Source organism: Homo sapiens, chromosome 4 (assembly GCF_000001405.40).
Source record: "Homo sapiens chromosome 4, GRCh38.p14 Primary Assembly".
Taxonomy (NCBI): Eukaryota; Metazoa; Chordata; class Mammalia; order Primates; family Hominidae; genus Homo; species Homo sapiens.
In genome coordinates this window covers 172,704,986-172,724,242 of record NC_000004.12, presented here as the reverse complement: position 1 = coordinate 172,724,242, position 19,257 = coordinate 172,704,986, and the positions used below count along the sequence as shown (strand labels likewise).

General features: G+C 36.9%; 1 protein-coding gene and 1 long non-coding RNA gene across 9 annotated transcripts in view, besides 1 other annotated feature; one reads left to right on the top strand and one right to left on the bottom strand.

Moving 5' to 3' along the window:
* Positions 1-19,257, bottom strand: part of GALNTL6 (polypeptide N-acetylgalactosaminyltransferase like 6) — a 1,228,156-nt gene that overhangs the window by 317,317 nt on the left and 891,582 nt on the right. The window lies entirely within an intron of this gene.
* GALNTL6-AS1 (GALNTL6 antisense RNA 1) overlaps positions 1-19,257 on the top strand; it is a 96,947-nt gene that overhangs the window by 2,636 nt on the left and 75,054 nt on the right. The gene's annotated exons all lie outside the window — the stretch shown is intronic.
* Positions 14,384-15,122: an enhancer, noted in NCBI's record as "OCT4-NANOG hESC enhancer chr4:173630272-173631010 (GRCh37/hg19 assembly coordinates)". NCBI's record gives its function as "activates a minimal SCP1, AML or CMV promoter by ChIP-STARR-seq in naive H9 embryonic stem cells {active_cell/tissue: H9 hESC(naive)}" and the evidence as "EXISTENCE:reporter gene assay evidence [ECO:0000049][PMID:30033119]".

The following is a 19,257-nucleotide window of genomic DNA, read 5'->3' as shown; positions in this document are numbered from 1 at the left end:
GGAGAAGTTGAGAAGAAGGATTGAAATCTAGAATCATTTCTAAATAGCATCAAAAGTGATTGATTTAATAGGGTGACGCAGGTTTGAGCAATAATATACAGGACTGGGGAATTAGTAAGGGTTCTGTTCACTCTTTTGGAAAGATATCACACTGCTCCCACATGGTGACTTATGATCTTTACCAAGGCCAACCTATCTTTCCAGTGTTTCACATGGTTTCCTGACATTTTGCCAGACCCAGAGCTTTGCTGAGAAAGCCTCACAACAACCTTATGAAGTAAGTACGATTATTATCCCTATAAATCTCTCGTGTTCACTGATATATCATATCAGTGAACCTGTACAGAGGTACTTTTGTGGCTCAAAAATATATTTCTTTTTCTGGAAGAAAATTTGTTAGGCCACTTATTTTTCACAAAAAGAATATTAAACCACCACTTCACTCTTTGATACCTAAAGTGAATGGATTTTTCTACTATCAATAATACATAATACCTACACATTGGATTTCTACCAGGGAGCTGAAACTTAATTGATTGTTACTTGGCATCTGCCAAAAAATATGGTTGAGGAAATGGGGATTTAAGAGAAAGAGTTGATGCAACACATTAGCCATTCATTCTTCAAGGCACTATAAAAGTTTTATCTTGCTGTCAAACTAAGTAATCAGAAAAAAAAAGTGTGCTAGGACAGTATAAAAAAAGATAAAGATCAACTAAAACAATAGTAACTATGGTGTATTGAGCTCTGTGCTAAGTACTTGACATATCCCTTTCCACAAGATCTTAGATCCCATATTATAATTTCCTATGATTAGATGAGGAAATGGAAACCCATGAGGTTAAATAAGTATGGGAAGGCCACAAGGCTAGTAATTGTGAGAGGCAGTATTCAAATTCAGGTCTGACAATAGAGGTCCTCTTTTTCATTATATCATACTGTGGTTAGTAGAATATTGGCCCCCCAAAAGATGTCCACATTCTCATCTCTAGCACCAGTGAATATGTTACTTTACAGTATTAAAATTAAGGACATTGAGATGGAGACATAATCCTGGATTATCTGGGTAGTCCCAACCTAACCACGCAGATCCTTTAGAGAGAGAACTGTGACTATGGAAGAGTGGTTGGAGAAATTCAACTTAGTTGGGTTTGAAATGGAGGCTGATATACATGAGTCAAAGAACGTGGGCACCCTCTTGATGTTAGAAAAGTCAAGAAAATGGATTATCCTCCTAAGCCTCCACAAGTGACATAGTCCTGCCAACACCCTCATTTTAGCCCAGTGAGACCCATGTTGGATTTCTAACCTACAGAACTGGAAGATAATAAAATTGTACTGTTTTAAGCCACAAAGCATATGATAATTTGTTATGGCAGCAATAGAAAACTTATGCAGAAACTGACTCTCCAACATGTTGCTAAATTTCTCCTTAATGTTAGCTCTGGGAAAAGTTTGTATTCATTCACAAATTCAAAAGAATATATTTATTCAAAAGATTTGTTCAAGGCATACTGTTTCCTTTTTGCCTTGGTTGACCAGAAGGCTAGAGCCAATTTTAGAGTTCACTTATGGTATGGTACATGTAGGTAAAATTATTTTTTTCATTTTTCAATATGTTTTCTGATCTTTTCTTATATTTTCATTTGCATTTTACTGTGTATATTCACATGCATTTTAAAAAATCAAAATGTTCCTGAGAGAAAAAGAGAGAGGGAGGTAGAGAAAGAGAGAGGGAGACTCACTCAAGCTATTTTATGAAAGTGGATTTGTGTCTCAGTGGAGTCAAAGAACACATTAGAGTGATTATTTTTAAAATGTAAAAAATATTCTAAAGATTTGTCCAACTTTATCAATGCTTTATAAAGCTTATTCTTAGAAGGGGTGTTACTTTGTTATCACCATGTATTTGTCATATGTACATGTCATATTTATTTATTTCAGATTGCATACAAGTTTCACTTAAGAAATGGAACCCCCATTTAGAGTATATTTCTATACAATTAAACCTGGGCTAGAGTATTGTGAGGATACTGCTTTTTAATTTTAGTGGTGAGGCTGATAAAAACATAAGAGAGTTGAATCTATTAAAGACAAAGATTTCTAACACAACTGGGGTTTGGTTTGTACATTGCTGGGTACACAAAAGATAGACTGATCACATTGACAGAAAGGAGCCACATCATTAATCAGAACTCTGTTCGTGCAGGACTGAAAGTAAATTAGGGAGTCACGATTTTGGGAAAAAAAAAAAAAGCCTTCCGCCACCTCCATTGCAATATTTGTGTTACTAAGCAACAAAATTCTTCTATTTAGCAAAGCCCTAATGATGCTGGCAGTGGAGTCTTGGAAAAATGCTTAACACAAGTTCATTATCCCTACCACTCTAGCTGCACTGCATATGCAGTGCTTGATTAGACATAACGAGAAGTAGAGAGAGAGTGCTGTTTGGTGCACCTGCATCTAAAAGACCACATAAAGTATTGATTTAGATGAATCTAATGACAGTCATTTAATGTGTTTGTCTACTCACAGCATTCATTTGAGCTGACAAAGAATACAGGACAACCCACTGTTAAATGTGCCCTAGAATTGTTAGGCCTTAATGATTCTGTCATGCCCAGTCACATACACACAAATTATGGCATAGCTGTAACCAACTCTATTGATACCTGGTATGGTCTTTCCCTAAGGAAGACTTTAAGAAAGCTGAAGATTGAAATCATCTGATAGTTTCCCTATGTTTTTTAAAACTTGAAACACTTCCTTTCTATATTAATATTTCTGCAATTTTAAAGAAACTCTAATTTTAATACATAAGAAAGTTTGTTTATTCTTTCTTGGTATTCATGCTAAGAAGAAGTTGTTTCAAAGGATTAAATACCTTTGTAGATATTCTCTTCCTCTTTTATTTTCTGCCCCCTTCTCTTTACCCTTGCCTTTTCTTCCAAGTATTTGGTTTCCAAGGGTTATCATTGTGGAATAAATGTTAAAGAAAGATGTGCTGAAAATAAAATCCATGACTATCTTGGGTTAGAATCTCTTCAAATGTTATTATTGACTAATAAGTGACATTTATGCCATAACATTTTAGATTCACAAAGCAATTTAGAAGCATCCTTCTGTTTTTCAAACCATCTTATCATCCTTTTTATGCACTTCTATTACTGAATACATTTTTATAGTTCCCGAACATAGAGACAGAAAGAAGGAGAAATACTTAATATTTTCTTCTGCCATTTCTATGGTGACATGCTACATTTAAAGCATAAGATACCTGATAATTCTAATTCTATTAAGAGGAATCAACCATGAAAAGTATAGCACCAAGCTGATTTCTTAAAAGGCTGACTCTTGGTTCTCCCAAAGGATAAAACAAAAAGACAAACACACAAATAATTTCTTTAGATAAGAAAGGTAGAATAAGTGGAGGTAATATTTTAATTGACATTGGCTAACAGTGAGAGGTAAAATAATTTTCTGATTCTTTACTACTAAAGAGTAATGCATTGAATAAGGCCACTCAGATCCTACAGGGCTGTCTACATCCCTAATTAGTTTGATTAAAAAATTAATATAGTCAGCCTTTTAATTTTTTGTTTATATTGATTTAGAGGAAGTTTTTCATTTGCAATGTTATTCTGGTGTTCCAGGGGAAAAATCCTTGTGGACAAATTCTGCATATTTGTGTCAGAGATGCGTGAACCAGAGCAACTCCATCTTGAATAGGAGCTGGGTAAAACTGAGACAACCAGGTGGGAGGGGGGAACCTGGAGAAACTAACTAGCTTGCCCACTGAGGTGGAGCCTCGGGAAGTTCAGGATGTTTGCAGCAGTGAGGAGCCTGGCCCCTCCTCTTCCTGTGTGGAACGTGGGATTTGAATGGCGGGCGGGAAGCACTCTAGCAGGGGACTCTGGCCTTGCGGAGGATCCCTGTTTCCCCTTTTTATTCCCTTTTCACTCAATAAAACCCTGCTTTACTCACCCTTTAAACTGTCTGTGAGCCTAAATTTTCATGGCCATTGGACGGACAAGGACCCCGTCATTAGCTGAACTAAGGAAAAGCCCTGTAACAAATGAGACTGAAACCTACGGAGCTGCATTTCCAGATGGTTAAGGCATTATAAGTCACAAGATGAGATACGAGGTCAGCACAAAATATAGGTCATAAAGACCTATATTTAGGTTGCAGTAAAGAAGCCGGCCAAAACTCAGCAAAACCAAGATGGACAGGAGAGTGACCTCCGGTCGTCCTCACTACTGCACTCCCATCAGCGCCATGACAGTTTACAAATGCCATGACAACGTCAGGAAGTTACCTAATATTGTCTAAAAAGGGGAGGCATGAATAATCCACCCCTTGTTTAGCATATCATCAGAAATAACCATAAAAACGGGCAGCCAGCAGCCCTCGGGGCTGCTCTGTCTGTGGAGTAGCCATTCTTTTATTCCTTTACTTTCCTAATAAACTTGCTTTCACTTTGTAGACTCGCCCTTAATTCTTTCTTGCACATGACCCAAGAACCCTCTCTTGGGGTCTGGATCCAGACCTCTTCCTGGTAACAGTTGTAGTAATCATAGATTACATAAAATATATCTTATATCTAAGGATTTGGCAAACGCTCTCATTAAGCCACACCACCCGTCCTGAGTCAAGTATGCTATTCTAATTTTCTACCTGCATTTAGAAGTTGTGAAATCTTTATAAGAATGTGTTCTAGTAGCAATAAGGAAAGTAGAGGAGAAAGCAGTGTTTTTTTTTAAATGTTTGTCTATAGGGATATATCCATTATATACATTGCTTCAATTATCTCCATCAAAAAGTTATAAAAGTGTTTTATTCTCCATTTTACAAATGACAGCACTGAGGCTTAAAGGAGTATTATAATTGGTTCTTGGTTGCCAGCTAAATAAATGGTAGGGTAAGGATTAAAACTCGGGTTTTTCTGTCCTTAGTTAAAATGTTTTTTACTATGTGTGCATTTTGAAAATTCATGCTTGTTTCTGAGATTTGGGTGTGCAGACAGGCCTGATTCATTTTGAGTATGTCTGGTTTTTATGAAAGTAGAAAGGGCTAATTTGGCTACTAGTTTCTTTTCTAAGCTGTGCTCAACTATAACTTAAATGTATACATTATTAAGCAATTACACAAAAATTAACCTACAAGGGTAACTCGTTTTGATGTCTTTCGAAAGAAAGGTGTCTGGCCATTTGCCCATTGTGATGTTGTAATTTAAATGTAATATAAATTGGAGAGTGTTTCATTGAGTTGCTAAATGAACAACTCAATGAGTTGTTTTTACAAACACTTTGCATATGTGATTGCCTTAATTGTGTAGAAATTTATCTTTTAAAGAAGATTCTCTTATTCCTAAAACTTTGAATCTGCAGCAGCAATAGGAAGATGATGGTCTATTGCTGTTATTTTTTAAAAGTTGATTTTAAAAAATAATAAACTGACTCCTAAATCCTGAGATTCTGATTCTGATGCACCATTTTGAACACTCAGGGTCTGCCTAGCATATTGACTTCAAAACCAAATATGGGATTCTTTTGACATGTGACAGTTTTTCCATATTTACAGATGATTTTTTTTTTGTTTTTTTGAGATGGGGTCTTGCCCTGTCACCCAGGCTAGAGTGCAGCGGCATGATCATGGCTTATTGTAGCCTCAACCTCCCAGGCTCAAGTGATCCTCCTGCCTCAGCCTCCTAAGTAGCTGGGACCACAGACACACACCACCATACCTGGCTCATATGTTTTTTAATTTTTTTTTTAGAGACAGGGTCTCCCTGTGTTACCCACGCTGGTCTTGAACTCCTGGTCTCCAGTGATCTGCCCACCTCGGCCTCCCAGTGTGCTGGGATTACAGGTATGAGCCACTGTACCAGGCCCAGATGACTGTTTTAAAGGTTAAATATTATTTATTACTGTGTATATTTGTTTCATTTTGAAATTATGATATGACATGATATAAATCAGGAAATGTATATTTAGCACAAAATATTAACATCTTCACTCTTTTAAAGTCATGAATCATCATAACGATGAAGTAGATTCTTCTGAATTATCTGCACAATAGAAATGCAGTTATTCAGTTGCTAAAGATTATGTATTTTTTCCAACCAAAACTTTAATAGATGTATATAAAACAAATCATTCTACCACCTAGTTTCCAGTGTAAGTAAACATTCTTAATATTATACTATAGTTATGTTGCTGACATTTATAATTTTGAAACTATAGTTGTATAAATTTAAAAGCTTTTACAACTGAGTGACTGAACTGGTAAATCAATCATTAGAACGAAAAATGTAGAACATTTATACACATACATAGACACACATAAACACACACCCTTAATCTCTGAAAGGAGACTTTGCTGTGATTTCTTTATCCTTTAAAGTCTCGTAGGGTTTTTCTGTTTTTCAGTATATTTTGGGGAGTCCATTCAGACTTTTGGAAAATGTATTAATTTTTCAAGTCACCAGGATACCATTTAGTAAGTCACTTTATGGCATTAGTTCTATTCATGGCTTAGAAACCCTTTACTTCCCAAGGCTTTTTATATTCTCTTCCAATATCTGTGTGTTGATGTATCCTATACACATAGTAGTGCTGGCAATTGTAGTAGCAAGTTGGTATATTGTATTTCATTCATTCTGGATTTTCCAATGTATATCAACCCTAAAATAGGCATTCCTTTTCCCCGCTTTCTTTTCAGCCCACCAATTGGTGCTCATCTGCCATCTTTATTGATTCTTAACAACTTTTCACTGTTCATTTTCACCAATATATGCTATAGTTCATGTGGACTGCGTTAGCACATTGACCACTTGATGCCCATTCTCTGGGAAATAGCTTTTGGTCCCGTTTAATAAAGATCAAATTTGAGTCAAGTGTAGCAAATATAGCTTTCCTCATGGTGCAATGATTACATAGAATGTGTTAAGGGGCAAACTCTTTCTAGCCTGATGCCCTTTTGTTGGTATAATTCCAATGTTAAACTTACTGGAGTATTTCAGAAGTTGTGTTTAAAAGTATAAAGTATATTGGCTAAGGCTTAATTTGGCTAAGGCTTTATTTTGGCTACTGAAAATTAAATGACACTGAATTTTTTGTAACTTAGAGATATATTCACATAATGGGTTATTGATATTTAAAACTGGTAGGTGTGAGGCCCAGGAATTTAATTCTTAACAGTGTTAATATATAGGGGCATCCACAAAATTTTGTATTTGGTGCTGACTTAAAACTATGATTCTGTAATCAATTATATCAACAGATATTTATCAGCCACATTTTAATATATGAAAATACATAGCATATGAAAAATGACATAAACTCCAACTATGCAAGGAATTTGTAGAACAATTATGGGTGACTAAAGAGAAAATAACTAAATTGTCTTTTCCATAGTGAGACTTAGGCGGACTTAGACTTACTAAACCAGTAGCGATGGCTACTTCTCTTTCAAATAATTTTTGACTTGTACACTTTTTAAATTCTGCTGTGATTTTTGCATTTTACAAGTGCATACACTTTAGTCAAAGCCCACTTAAAATCTTTGTTTTCCTTAATGCGGTACAGAACAGAAGGTTAAGCGTTCAGAAAATACTCTGTGACAATGTAAAGTGGTCTGCTGTGGGTCTAGGGATATATTTATCCTCTGAAGAATCATGGGCCGCGTTATGGGAGTGAGCAGAGACCACCCAAGGGAGCGACTGGGAATGTTTGATAAAACAGTTGTACTCTGGGCGTCAGTCATCGAGGAGATAATGAGCTTTCATCAAGATGTAATTCAATACACTCTTTCCTTCATTGAGAGCCTTATTATAAAACCTATCAGCTGAACTACTCTGTGACCTAGTTGATTTACATTTCGGTAAGCTCATCATAACATGGACTGGGTTTTGGGGATCCGGCTGCTGCTCCATGAGCTACAGTTTGAGAAGCATTGGCTTACAGCAGGGCTTCTTAGCCCAGGGACTATGGACATCTGACTAGCTAGCTATTGTTGTGTGGGTTTTTCTGTCTAGGATGTGCATAGGATGGTCACTAGCATTCTCTAGCCGCTATAGACTAGACACCACCAGCACCTCTCCCAATTAGTTACGACAATAAAAAAAAAATCTCTAGAGTTTGCCAAATGTCCCACCCTGGGGTTGTTGGGGTGGGGTGCGGGAGCAAAACTGCCAAATTGCTACAGTTGTGGAAAGCTGGTCGTCATGTGATCTCTCTCATTACCATTCACAGCATCTGAACGCCAGTCTATAGATAAATTACTAAATACCAGGATTATTTGAGAACAATAACTTCAGTTTGTCATTAAACAATTACTTCATGAAGTAACATAGTGTACTTAGTTTGTTTGGATTAACTCACAAAGTCATATGTAGTTCTTTGCATTTAGTCCACAAACGTATGCAAGACCTTTTAACACCAACAGCAGATCCAAAAATGTCACTGAAAATGGATCTAACAACTACAAACAGGACCATTTGGTTATCTTTTTCATTGTAAAAAGTAGCAAATAAATCAATCCCCAGGATTTAAATAGAATTGTTAACTAAGAATGACTTTTTATAATGTCATTAATTATGCACTGAAATGTAAGAAAAATATGTGCCTGACCAACTGGTCTCTGAATATAAAAGACATATGTTTGCTTTCTTCTGGTTATTTATAAATACTAGCAGTGATAAGAATACCACAATACTACCACCTCCTTACATTTGGAGAGTACCCTGTGCTTCTCAAAATGCTGTCACAAATCTTATTTCCTTTCACCCTTAGTTTAGTATCTCTGCCTGCTGTTTGCAGAACCTGCACTCTTTTATGCTGGCCTTTCTCATCTTAATGGAAACATAGAGACATAGATCACAGAACCATAACAACATTGGTTCTTCTAAGCATGCATGCAGGCATGTCCACACATACTTGTGTGTGTGCATACACCCATGCACATCCCCACACACACCCTGCCGCCACATACACCAGTGTTGCTTTTCTTACTACCTTCATAAAGGACAATGTCCATAAGAGTTTTTCCGAATTCTGCCTAATAAAAGAGACAGTCTAAATCATAGTAGAGACCCCAAAAGGATAATTCCTGGCCTCAAGTAGTAGATACACCATTTTTTTTTGTTGAAATCATTAGATATTCTGTATAAATCTGAAACCAGAAGATCTTAATGAATTTTGTTGACCTTTTATACAGAATTTGATTAGTTTTCCTCCTTTTTTTTTTTGAAGTAAATGTCAGGTTTAGCAGTGGTGGAAAAAGAAATATTATGGAGAATCAGAAATCTCAATAGTCCACCTAAATGTTCAAGTCCTTTAAATGCACAAAATTTTATATTTGGATCACAATTTTATCATGTTAAAATGCATGAGTGGCAAGTGTTTATCATAAAGTCTTCTAAGATGGCATAGCCCTTACGCTCACCCATTGCCACCAGCAGACCTTCCCCACACTCCTCTCAATTTATCCTGCTGCTTTCCTGAATACTGAGTTTCAAACAAATAATTTTAAATGGCCTATGTATTGATTGAAAGGTTCTGCACATGTACCCTAAAACTTAAAGTATACTAAAAAGACAAGTGGCATCAATGATCAAATCTACTAAGCTCCTGAAAATAACTTATAGTACATTTTTACATAAATTTTCTAATGATTTCCTTATATTTTACTTGTAGCAAGTTTTTTTCTTAGAGTGCAATACATGTTCAACCACTATTAATGTTTTGCTTTATGGCTGCCTGTATTGAAGCCTTTCTTACTCTGTCAGGTAGGTATTACGATCATTATGATTCTTATTTTGTAAATGAGGCAGGATCAGTGATGTTACTTGCTCAAGAGCCAATAGTTAAGTAACAGAACCAGAACCTAAATTAGCAGATGAGTGTGTGTGTGTGTGTGTGTGTGTGTGTGTGTTTGGTGTGAAACCACCACTGTAAAATTATAACTGAGACAGTGAAAGACATTTGATCTAACCAACTCTATCTTGCTTCTAACCTCCAAGCTGTCCTTGTTCATTTCTGGATGTAGGCTGAACTAACTTTGTGAGGAACTTATAGTTTAGAACAAAAACAATAATATCCCTTTCCCAAAACAAACCCTCTTATTTCCTGGGGACCAGTCTGTCATCGTACACCACAACCACACTCAACTACTTTTTGTATTTTTAGTAGAGACAGGGTTTCACCATGTTGACCAGGCTGGTCTTGAACTCCTGACCTCAAGTGATCCATCTGCCTCAGCCTCCCAAAGTGCTGGGATTACAGGTGTGAGCCACTGCACCCATCAAGTCCCTCAGTTTTTCTTGTGGAACAGCTCTCTACACTCAAGCTTGAGTCTAACAGGAAAGAAACCTACAGTTTGATAAGCTGACACTATTGCATTAGTAAAGATGAGAAAGAAGGGCAGATTTAACTAAAACGATGACAACAGAGTTGGAGATCAGGGATGGATTTGAGATCTATTGAGGAGCACCATGTTCAGGCTTTGTTGACTAATTAGAGAGAAGAATGGGCATAGGCAGACTCCCTGGTTTCTGACTTGAGGGAAATCTATGATTCAGTGACCATATTTTATTTTCATATTACTTTCTGATAAAAAGAAGATGTGACAGTTAATTTTATGCATCAACATGTTTGGGCCACAGTGACCACAGTACCCTGCGATGGTGCTTTTGGGTGAGAGGAATATTTAAATCAGTGGCCTTTGAGTAAAGCAGATTTCCCTTTATATGTGGGTGGGCCTCATCAAACAGTTGAAGGCCTAAGTTGAATAAAAGACTGATCTCCTGCAGCAAGAGGGAATGCTGCCAGCTGACAGCCTTTGGACTTGAACCACAACATCGGCTCTTTCATGGGTCTCCACACTAGATGCCCACTCTGCAGACTTTGGACCTGCCAGCCTCCATGATCATGTGAGCCAATTCCTTAAAATAAATCTTTCTCTTTCTCTCTAAACACACACACACACACACACACACACACACACACACACACACACATCTTATTCTTTTGTTGTTCTCTTATTCTTTTTGTTTTTCTGGAGAAGAGTGACCGATACAGCACGTAACAGTATTAAATTTCTTGTATAGTTACCTAGGGGAAAAAAACTAACTGAAATGCATTTATGTCATAACAACAAGTTTTCAAATATAAATTCTAAAGATAGGGAGCACTGTGTACCTTCTAAGACACAGACATACTGCATACTGTAAAGATTCCAACTTCCCAGTCTAATAGATATTTTATGGTCATTTTGCACGTAAGGAAATTAAGCCAGAGGTTATATAATCTGCTCAAGGTCTTGGTGAGAGCAAGTGGCAAAACTGAGATTTACACTCATTATGTTCAGCCTCAAAATCTATGTTCTCAACTTTATATGTCAGTGGCTTCTCTTTCAATGTTTTGCTATTTAGAACTTTTTAACAAATAATTATGACAGGTGATAGTTATGCAAGGCATACAGTGTTCCAGGCCTTGTTGTACAAGCATACATAATGTAACTCATTCAATCCCCTTAACAATCTTGTTTCACAAATGGCACAGACACAGAGGTTCTGTGAGATAAATCTCACATGGTAACTTGTTTTATCATTTACATCAAAATGAGGTGATCTAATGAAGGAAGGATGGTGAAAGGCACTCATATTACCTCAAGGACCACCAGAACTTTTATTGTTTCCATTATTTTTTCTTCATAAAAAAGTAGCATCCTTAATGTAAAAAGAATGGTAAATCAAAGGGGAACATCACACACCGGGGCCTGTTGTGAGGTGGGGGGAGTGGGGAGGGATAGCATTTGGAGATATACCTAATGCTAAATGACGAGATACTGGGTGCAGCACACCAACATGGCACATGTATACATACGTAACTAACCTGCACGTTCTGCACATGTACCCTAAAACTTAAAGTATACTAAAAAGAAAAGTGGCATCAATGATCAAATCTACTAAGCTCCTGAAAATAACTTATAGTACATTGTTACATAAATTTTCTAATGATTTCCTTATATTTTACTTGTAGCAAGTTTTTTTCTTAGAGTGCAATACATGTTCAACCACTATTAATGTTTTTCTTTATGGCGTTCCATTTACACATCCACCCAAACACAAACACACCCAACCCTACATGCCTACACAGAAATCTACATGGAAAAATATTGATTGTTAAACCTACCTAATTCACTCTTAGCTGTCATGTTACCTGGCAGAGTTGATCACTCTGTCCTCTTGAAGTGCTCTTTTCCTGCCTTCCGGGATAGCTCTGGTTTTCCTTCTGTTTCCCTTGCTGCTCTTGCTCCTGCCCCTTTGCTTCCTCCTCATCTTCCTGACCTCTTGGATGGATTGGCCAAGGGCCTAGTTGTGGACGTCCTGTCTTCTCCACTCATCCTTTGGTAAATTCATCTATGTTAATAGACTTTAAGACCATATGTATGTTGACTTTGTGCCTGTCTCTAGCTCAGACTGCGCCTCCTTGAAGTCCATCTGCATACCTGTAACTACCCACTCAGCACATCTACTTGGAAATCTAATGTGTTCGTGTGCCAAAATTTGGACATTAATATGTTCACAAAAAAGTCCCTTCCGAACCTGCTCCTCCTCAGGAATGGAGAACTCTTATCATTTTGTTGTTCAGGTCAAAACCCTTGGAATCATCCTGGAACCCTACCTTGTTCACCCGGCACACATTCAATTTTGACTCCCTTTATTTTATATTCACCCAAAAGCCAGAGGGATTCCTTTGAAATGCAAGCCACTGAGTTTGTGCCACAACTGAGCTCAGAATCTTCTTTTCCTATTTTACTCAGAATAAAAGGACAATTCCTTTCAAAGGGCTGCAGGACTCCAAAGGACCTGAGCCCATTCCTCTTCCTTCATTGACTCAGCTTCAGCCGCAGTAATCTCTATACGTTTACAGAACCCATCAGAAAACTCTCACCTAAGACATGTGTACGCGGCGTTCCATCTGCCTGGAATGCTTTTCCCAGACCACAGGCTGACTTTCTCACAACCATACAACAATTAGGTCTTTGACCAAGTGTCACGTAGGTGATTTTTGATTACTTGTTTTAAAATTCAGTCACATTCCTCCTACCGCATACACCCCAATTCTCTTCCCTGACTTATTTTGCCCTAGAACACTTCCCAAAATTCTTTTATATTACACATTTGTTTATTAAGAAGGGTCTTGCTCTCTCTCTAGGTTGCAGGCTCAATGAAGGCAGATATTTCAGTTGGTGCTGGCCTTGTTCGTTGTATCCCCAGTACCTATAAGAGTGCCTGGCATACAATGGGAGCTCAATAACTATTTGTTGAATGTTCAATAATTGTTGAATAAATATTTAACATAACTAAGGTTGTACTGCTAAATATGGGCTTTTACCTTGTTTTTTCTTCTAGCACTCATTTGGGGAAATCAGATATTTTGAATACATTTTCATAAAATATAAGTTTACTTTAAAAATTATCGATTTAATAATTTTATTAAAAATTACATATCAAGTGGGTCCAACTTATTCCATGTTCCAAATTGAAGATATTATTTTCCTAGAAGCAAATTATAACAGCAAAACAACACAAAACTACCCAATACAGGTTTGAATCAGTTTTTATAAATTTGGAATCAAAACAGCAAGACATAGTTGGATAATTTTAACTGATCGAGTTAAAATAGCTTGAGGTTTCCATAACTACTTGAGAGGTATTTTATTTTTCCTTGAGTGTTAAGATATCATTTTGCTGTTGACACTGGGTGGGAAAACTTGATTTATAATATTTCCATGATATTTCATTGTATTTAAGACATAGCTATTTTAACTTCCTCTTTTCTTGTACATTCATGATTGCAACTTTTTATTATTACAAATAGAATTCAAATGAAAATCCTTATGCTTGTGTGTGTGTGTTTTAACACATCTTTGCTTTCTTCATGATAAATAAATAGATGTGAATCAAAATATAAGAACATTTTTTAGAATGTTGTTCCAGTTTGCCAAATTGCTTTCTCAAGATGTTCCTCTAATTTTCACTCCCCAGCAAACGATTAGAATGCTCCTTTTCTCTCACACCCTGCCAACAATATAAATTGTCTTAGAAAAGTTTATCACCAAATGTATGAGTTTTAATGTATCTATTATAGTAATTTATACTCTTTAATTTTTAGTGAAGTTTAATGCTTTTCATATGTTTACTTGTCATTAAATTTTTTTGTGAATTGCCAGCTTTTTTTAACCTTTTAGTGTTCATCATTTTTTGCTCAAATGTGAAAACTCCTTTAATAATAAAAATGTTAGTGCTTTGCTTGTCAATGCGGTACAATCATTTGTTTTTCTAGTCAATTTCATCTACATTTTTTCCCTTTAATTATATATATCAAATCTATCGATCTACACCTTTATGATTTCTTGGTTGACTGTTCAGTTTTCAAAACACCCTATTGTCTCAATTTTTTAACATTTAACTTTGTAATTCATCCTGATTTTATTTTGCTATTGTACAAAATCATCAGTATGTCTTTAAGTTATCTTAAAGATCATTTAGGGCCCTGCTTTATGGATAGCCTTTCCCCACACTGTGGGAAGGTAGGCAGGGGAGCTGTCTGGGTTGAGGGCCCTGGTTGCTGACAGCTCAGGCACTTCAGAGAATAAACACATCAAAAACAAAGCTCACCTGCTGACAGTCTCTGAACTGTTTGTTTTATCCACAGACTGAGCTCAGCCTCAGCTGTTTCTCCTACAGGACCCTTTGTTGTGTGTTTATTAAAGGAAGATCATGGTAAGTCGGGCTGGCAAGAATGAAAATCTTTCTTTCAAAGCACTTTTCTGAACTACAGGATGCACCATAAACTTTTTCAACTGGCTAAAATGCATTATGTGGCATGACTTCTTTTTCCCTGCTTCCATTATTCTTTGTCAACTTTCTCTCTTCAGCACTGATTGTGTCCATGAGCACTGCCTCCAATCTTGTTTGATGGGGTGCTTGGAGGGGAGAGGGAGAAGAGAATTGCTGGGCTCTGGCAGGCCTGGGACTCTGAATATGAGGGGAGAGGAGAGACCAAGAAGGCCAGAAGGAGAGAAAACCTGCATGTGATCATCAACTCTTTTGAGTAGGGTGCGCAAGCATGCATGTGGGCATGAAATCACCCAGGGTAAAACATGAAATGAAGGAGTAGGGACATAAATAATAGAAGCCAATAGAACAATATAGAAAAAATTGTTTTCAAAAGAATGCCTTTCAGAAGAACTCAGCAATTTTTTTTCTCCAGAAAAAGATAAAATGCCTTCAAATCCCACTTAGGGTAGAAGGCAAGATCCTTAAGGCATCTCAAATAACAAATGCACAATAAAGAAGTAAAGAGTTTGAAAGAGATCTGAATTGGAAAAAAAGAAAACTTGGATGAAGATTTTTCACAAACATGTAATGTGCTTTGTGCTGTTCAGCAGAAGATATACAATTATGATATGGTCAGAATAAGATGTTTTCATTAAAACCACTGAAGAAATTGTGTTCTGTATGCAAATCAAAAGCTTACAAATAATAATGGTTAAAATCACTAGGGCTCACCATGTAGGGGACACTGTTCAGATTCTTCCTATATATTGGCTCATTTACTCTTAAGGTCCCCCTTTGTGGTTTGTATTATGACAATTCTTATTTTGCAGACAAGGAATCTGTGGGAGAGTCAGGCTAAGTCATTTTCCTTGGTAATTCAGCTAGTAAGTGGCAGAACTGAAATGTGAACCCAGTCTATTTAGTTTCAGAGTTGCTGCTCTTAACCATAAACTGTACAGACTCACTGCTCAGACATTGGTAGAGAAATGCCTGGATGACACCTGTACTACAAACATTATAAACACTTCTATTTTGACAGGGTGTGGCGGCTCAGGCCCATAATCCCAGCACTTCGATAGGCTAAGTTGGGCGGATTACTTGAGGTCAGGGGTTTGAGACCACGAAGTGTTGCCTGGCAACATAGCAAAACTCCACGTTTCTAAAAATAGAAAAATCAGCTGGGCATGGTAACATGTGCCTGTAGTTCCAGCTACTTGGGAGGCTGAGGCAGGAGAATTGCTTGAGTCCAGGAGGCAGAGGTTGCAGTGAGTCGAGATTGTGCCACTGCACTCTAGCCTGGGCAACAAAGCGAGGAGAAAAAAGTTTTGTTTTTATGGTGAGGAGAATTATATTATTTATCAAATGCAAGCCAAGTGACAAGGATCTATCCTTGACCAAACTTTAGTCAGGTTTCTTTGATCCCTCTTCTCAACTAGACCTTGGCTTTGGCTCTCCCCAACCCCACCCCTGCTGGACCTACATAGCCCAACTGTAACAAGAATTCTGCTCAGTTTAGTGAGAATCTTCTCACCCTTGATATCTGATCACCATGGCTTTCCTTCAGCAAGAATCCTGTTAAACAGTTTGGCAAGAATCCCCCTATACTTGATGTCTCTTGTTAGTAATTTTCTAATTACTCTGCTTGTTGGCTATAAATCCCCAGCTGTCATTGCTGTATTTGGAGTTGAGCCTAATCTCCCTCTCTATTACAACAGTCTTGACACCTGTCACAATAGACCTGACAGGTCTGAATAAAGTCTTCCTTACGATTTTAACAAATGCAGAATAATTTTGCCTTTAACAACAGTTAACAAAGAGGTTTTGGAAGTGGACATTATGATGAGTTGATTGAAAATGAATTTAAGCAATACCTTTCTTTTGGATTTAACCCATGTTAGTTATTTCAGTTATGCCTTCAAAAGTGTGCTGGATAAGATTTAATCTTTTGCTTTTTCTAAGTAGTGAAAAGAGGCTGCATATTAGTGGCAGGACTATACTTGTGATTTTAAGAGGTGTGTCAATAGGGCAGATCTATCTGACTACTGATTTGTGGTAGTTTGTCACTGCTACAACAAACACTACATGCCTACTTGGCAGAATCTTCTGAGAAAATTTTTAAAGTTGAAGAATTTTTTGAACAATTCTTACTATCTAAATAAACCGTAAACAATATTCTAAAACTCACAACAGAGGCTGTGACAATCCCAGGGGCCACAGAAAAATGAAAAATCATGAGCAGAAGGTAAGAGGAATAAAACTCTAACTGTGACACCCCTCCCCCAAACTGCCAGGCAACATGTGGAAAAGTCCCCGTGGACTGATGGTTTCTACACAGGTAAAAGTGTAATAGAGGTAGACAGCCAGTTTCCCCACCATCATGGGTTCCTTGGCAAGAAAACCATTCCTGCCCCAACCCATAGGAAGTACTGCAAGTGCATGTAGGTTGAAAACTCCTGAGGGTAGCTGGAGACAAACAGAAGTTGGGCTAAAATGAGCCAGCATGCAAAACTCTGTGGCTGCTTTTCATCTCAGCCAAAGGAGACAGCAAGTTAGAGAGGCTGTACATGACCACTATGCTGTCAAAGGTGTGCTCTGTGAATATTCCAGGCACAAACTCCAAACTAGCCTTCTTACACAGCCAGGGTATCCCCACTGGGATCCCCGCAGTCTGAGATGTGCAGTATTCTGAACTTTTTCAAGAGTTATGGCAAATCTGGGCTTAGGAAACCACCTAATGCCAGAAAGGAGGCAGTGGTCTTGGGCTAAAGGAACTCATCAGTCAACCTGCACAGACAGACATACTCTGGAAAGACCAAGGCAAAAGCAAAGACTAGAATAAATAATTCTCCCTTAAGTGCAAAGACATAGACATAAGTCCACAGAAAACAAGAGTGGATAGAGAACCATGACCTCCCCAAATGGACAAAAAAATGAGACAGCACTGACCCTAATAAGATGTTTATGTGAAAGCTCTCAGATCAATAACTCAAACCAGCAGTGTAAGGAAATCTGGTGAATTTCAAGATTTGTCATATAAATTCAGAAATTTATGAGAAATTTAACAAAGATTTTGAAATAATTTAAAACATCAAACAGAAATCCTGGAGCTTAGAAATACAATGGTCAAAATGAAAAATACATTAGAGGGTCTCAACAGCAGACTGAATCAAGCAGAAGAAATAACCAGTGATCTGGAAAATAGGCAATTTGGAAATAAATAAAAGAGAAAAAAGAAAACAAAAAGAATGCTTACAAATCTAGAGGATAGCCTAAAAAGAGCAAATCTGAGTCATTGGTCTTTAACAGGGAGTTGAGAAAGAGCAAGGGGTAGAAAGCTTATTCAAAGACACAATAACAGAAAACTTTACAAAATCTAGAGAAAGATATAAATATCCAGGTATAGTAAGGTCAAAGATCACCAAACAGATTTAACCCAAATAAAACTACCCCAAGGCATATAATAACCAAACTCTCAAAGTTCAAGGACAAATAGAGGATCCTAAAAGCAGAAAAAAAATTAAATCATATATAAAAGAGATCTGATTTGTCTGGCAACAGACTTCTCAGTAGAAACCCTACAGGACAGGAAGAAGTGGGATGACATACTAATAGTGCTAAAGGAAAAAAAACTGTCAACCAAGAATTGTGTACCCAACAAAGCTATCCTTGAAACACAAAGGCAAACAAAAGTTGAGAAAATTCATCATCACCACATTGGTCTTATAAGAATGCTAAAGGGAGTTCTTCAATCTGGAGGCAAAAAAGGATACCAACATACAACCAAAAAAAATCCACCTGAAGTATAAAAATCATTGGAAAAAGTAAATACCCAGAGAAAATTACTAAGAGATAGGCAATATAAAAAGATGTAAATTGGAACAACAAAAAGTCAAAATTTTGGAAGGAATAGAGCTAAAGTGTAGAGATTTTTAGTTTTTTTTTTTAAATTTATTGTTTTCTTTATGATCAAAATAAAGTTGTTATCCGTTTAAAATAACTTTGTTAAAAACATAAATGTTTTATATACCCATGCAGCAAAAACCTATAATATAAAAACTAAAAATAGAAAGCAAACGCAAGAAATTGAAATATACTACCAGAAAAAATAACTACAAAAGGAGGCAGTAAGAAAAGAAGAATGAGAGGAGCTACAAAACAACCATAAAACAAAAAAAAAATAGCAGTAGTAAGTCCTTACCTATTAATAATAAGAGTGAGTGTAAATGGAGTAAATTCCCCAATTAAAAGATAAAGGGTGGGTGAATGGATAAAAGTACAAGACCCAGTTAAATGCTGCCTATAAGAAATTCATCTATAAAGACACATGATTTAAATAGAAAAAATAGAAGAATATATTTTATATAAATTGAAACCACAAAAGGGCAGGAGTAGCTATACTTTCATGT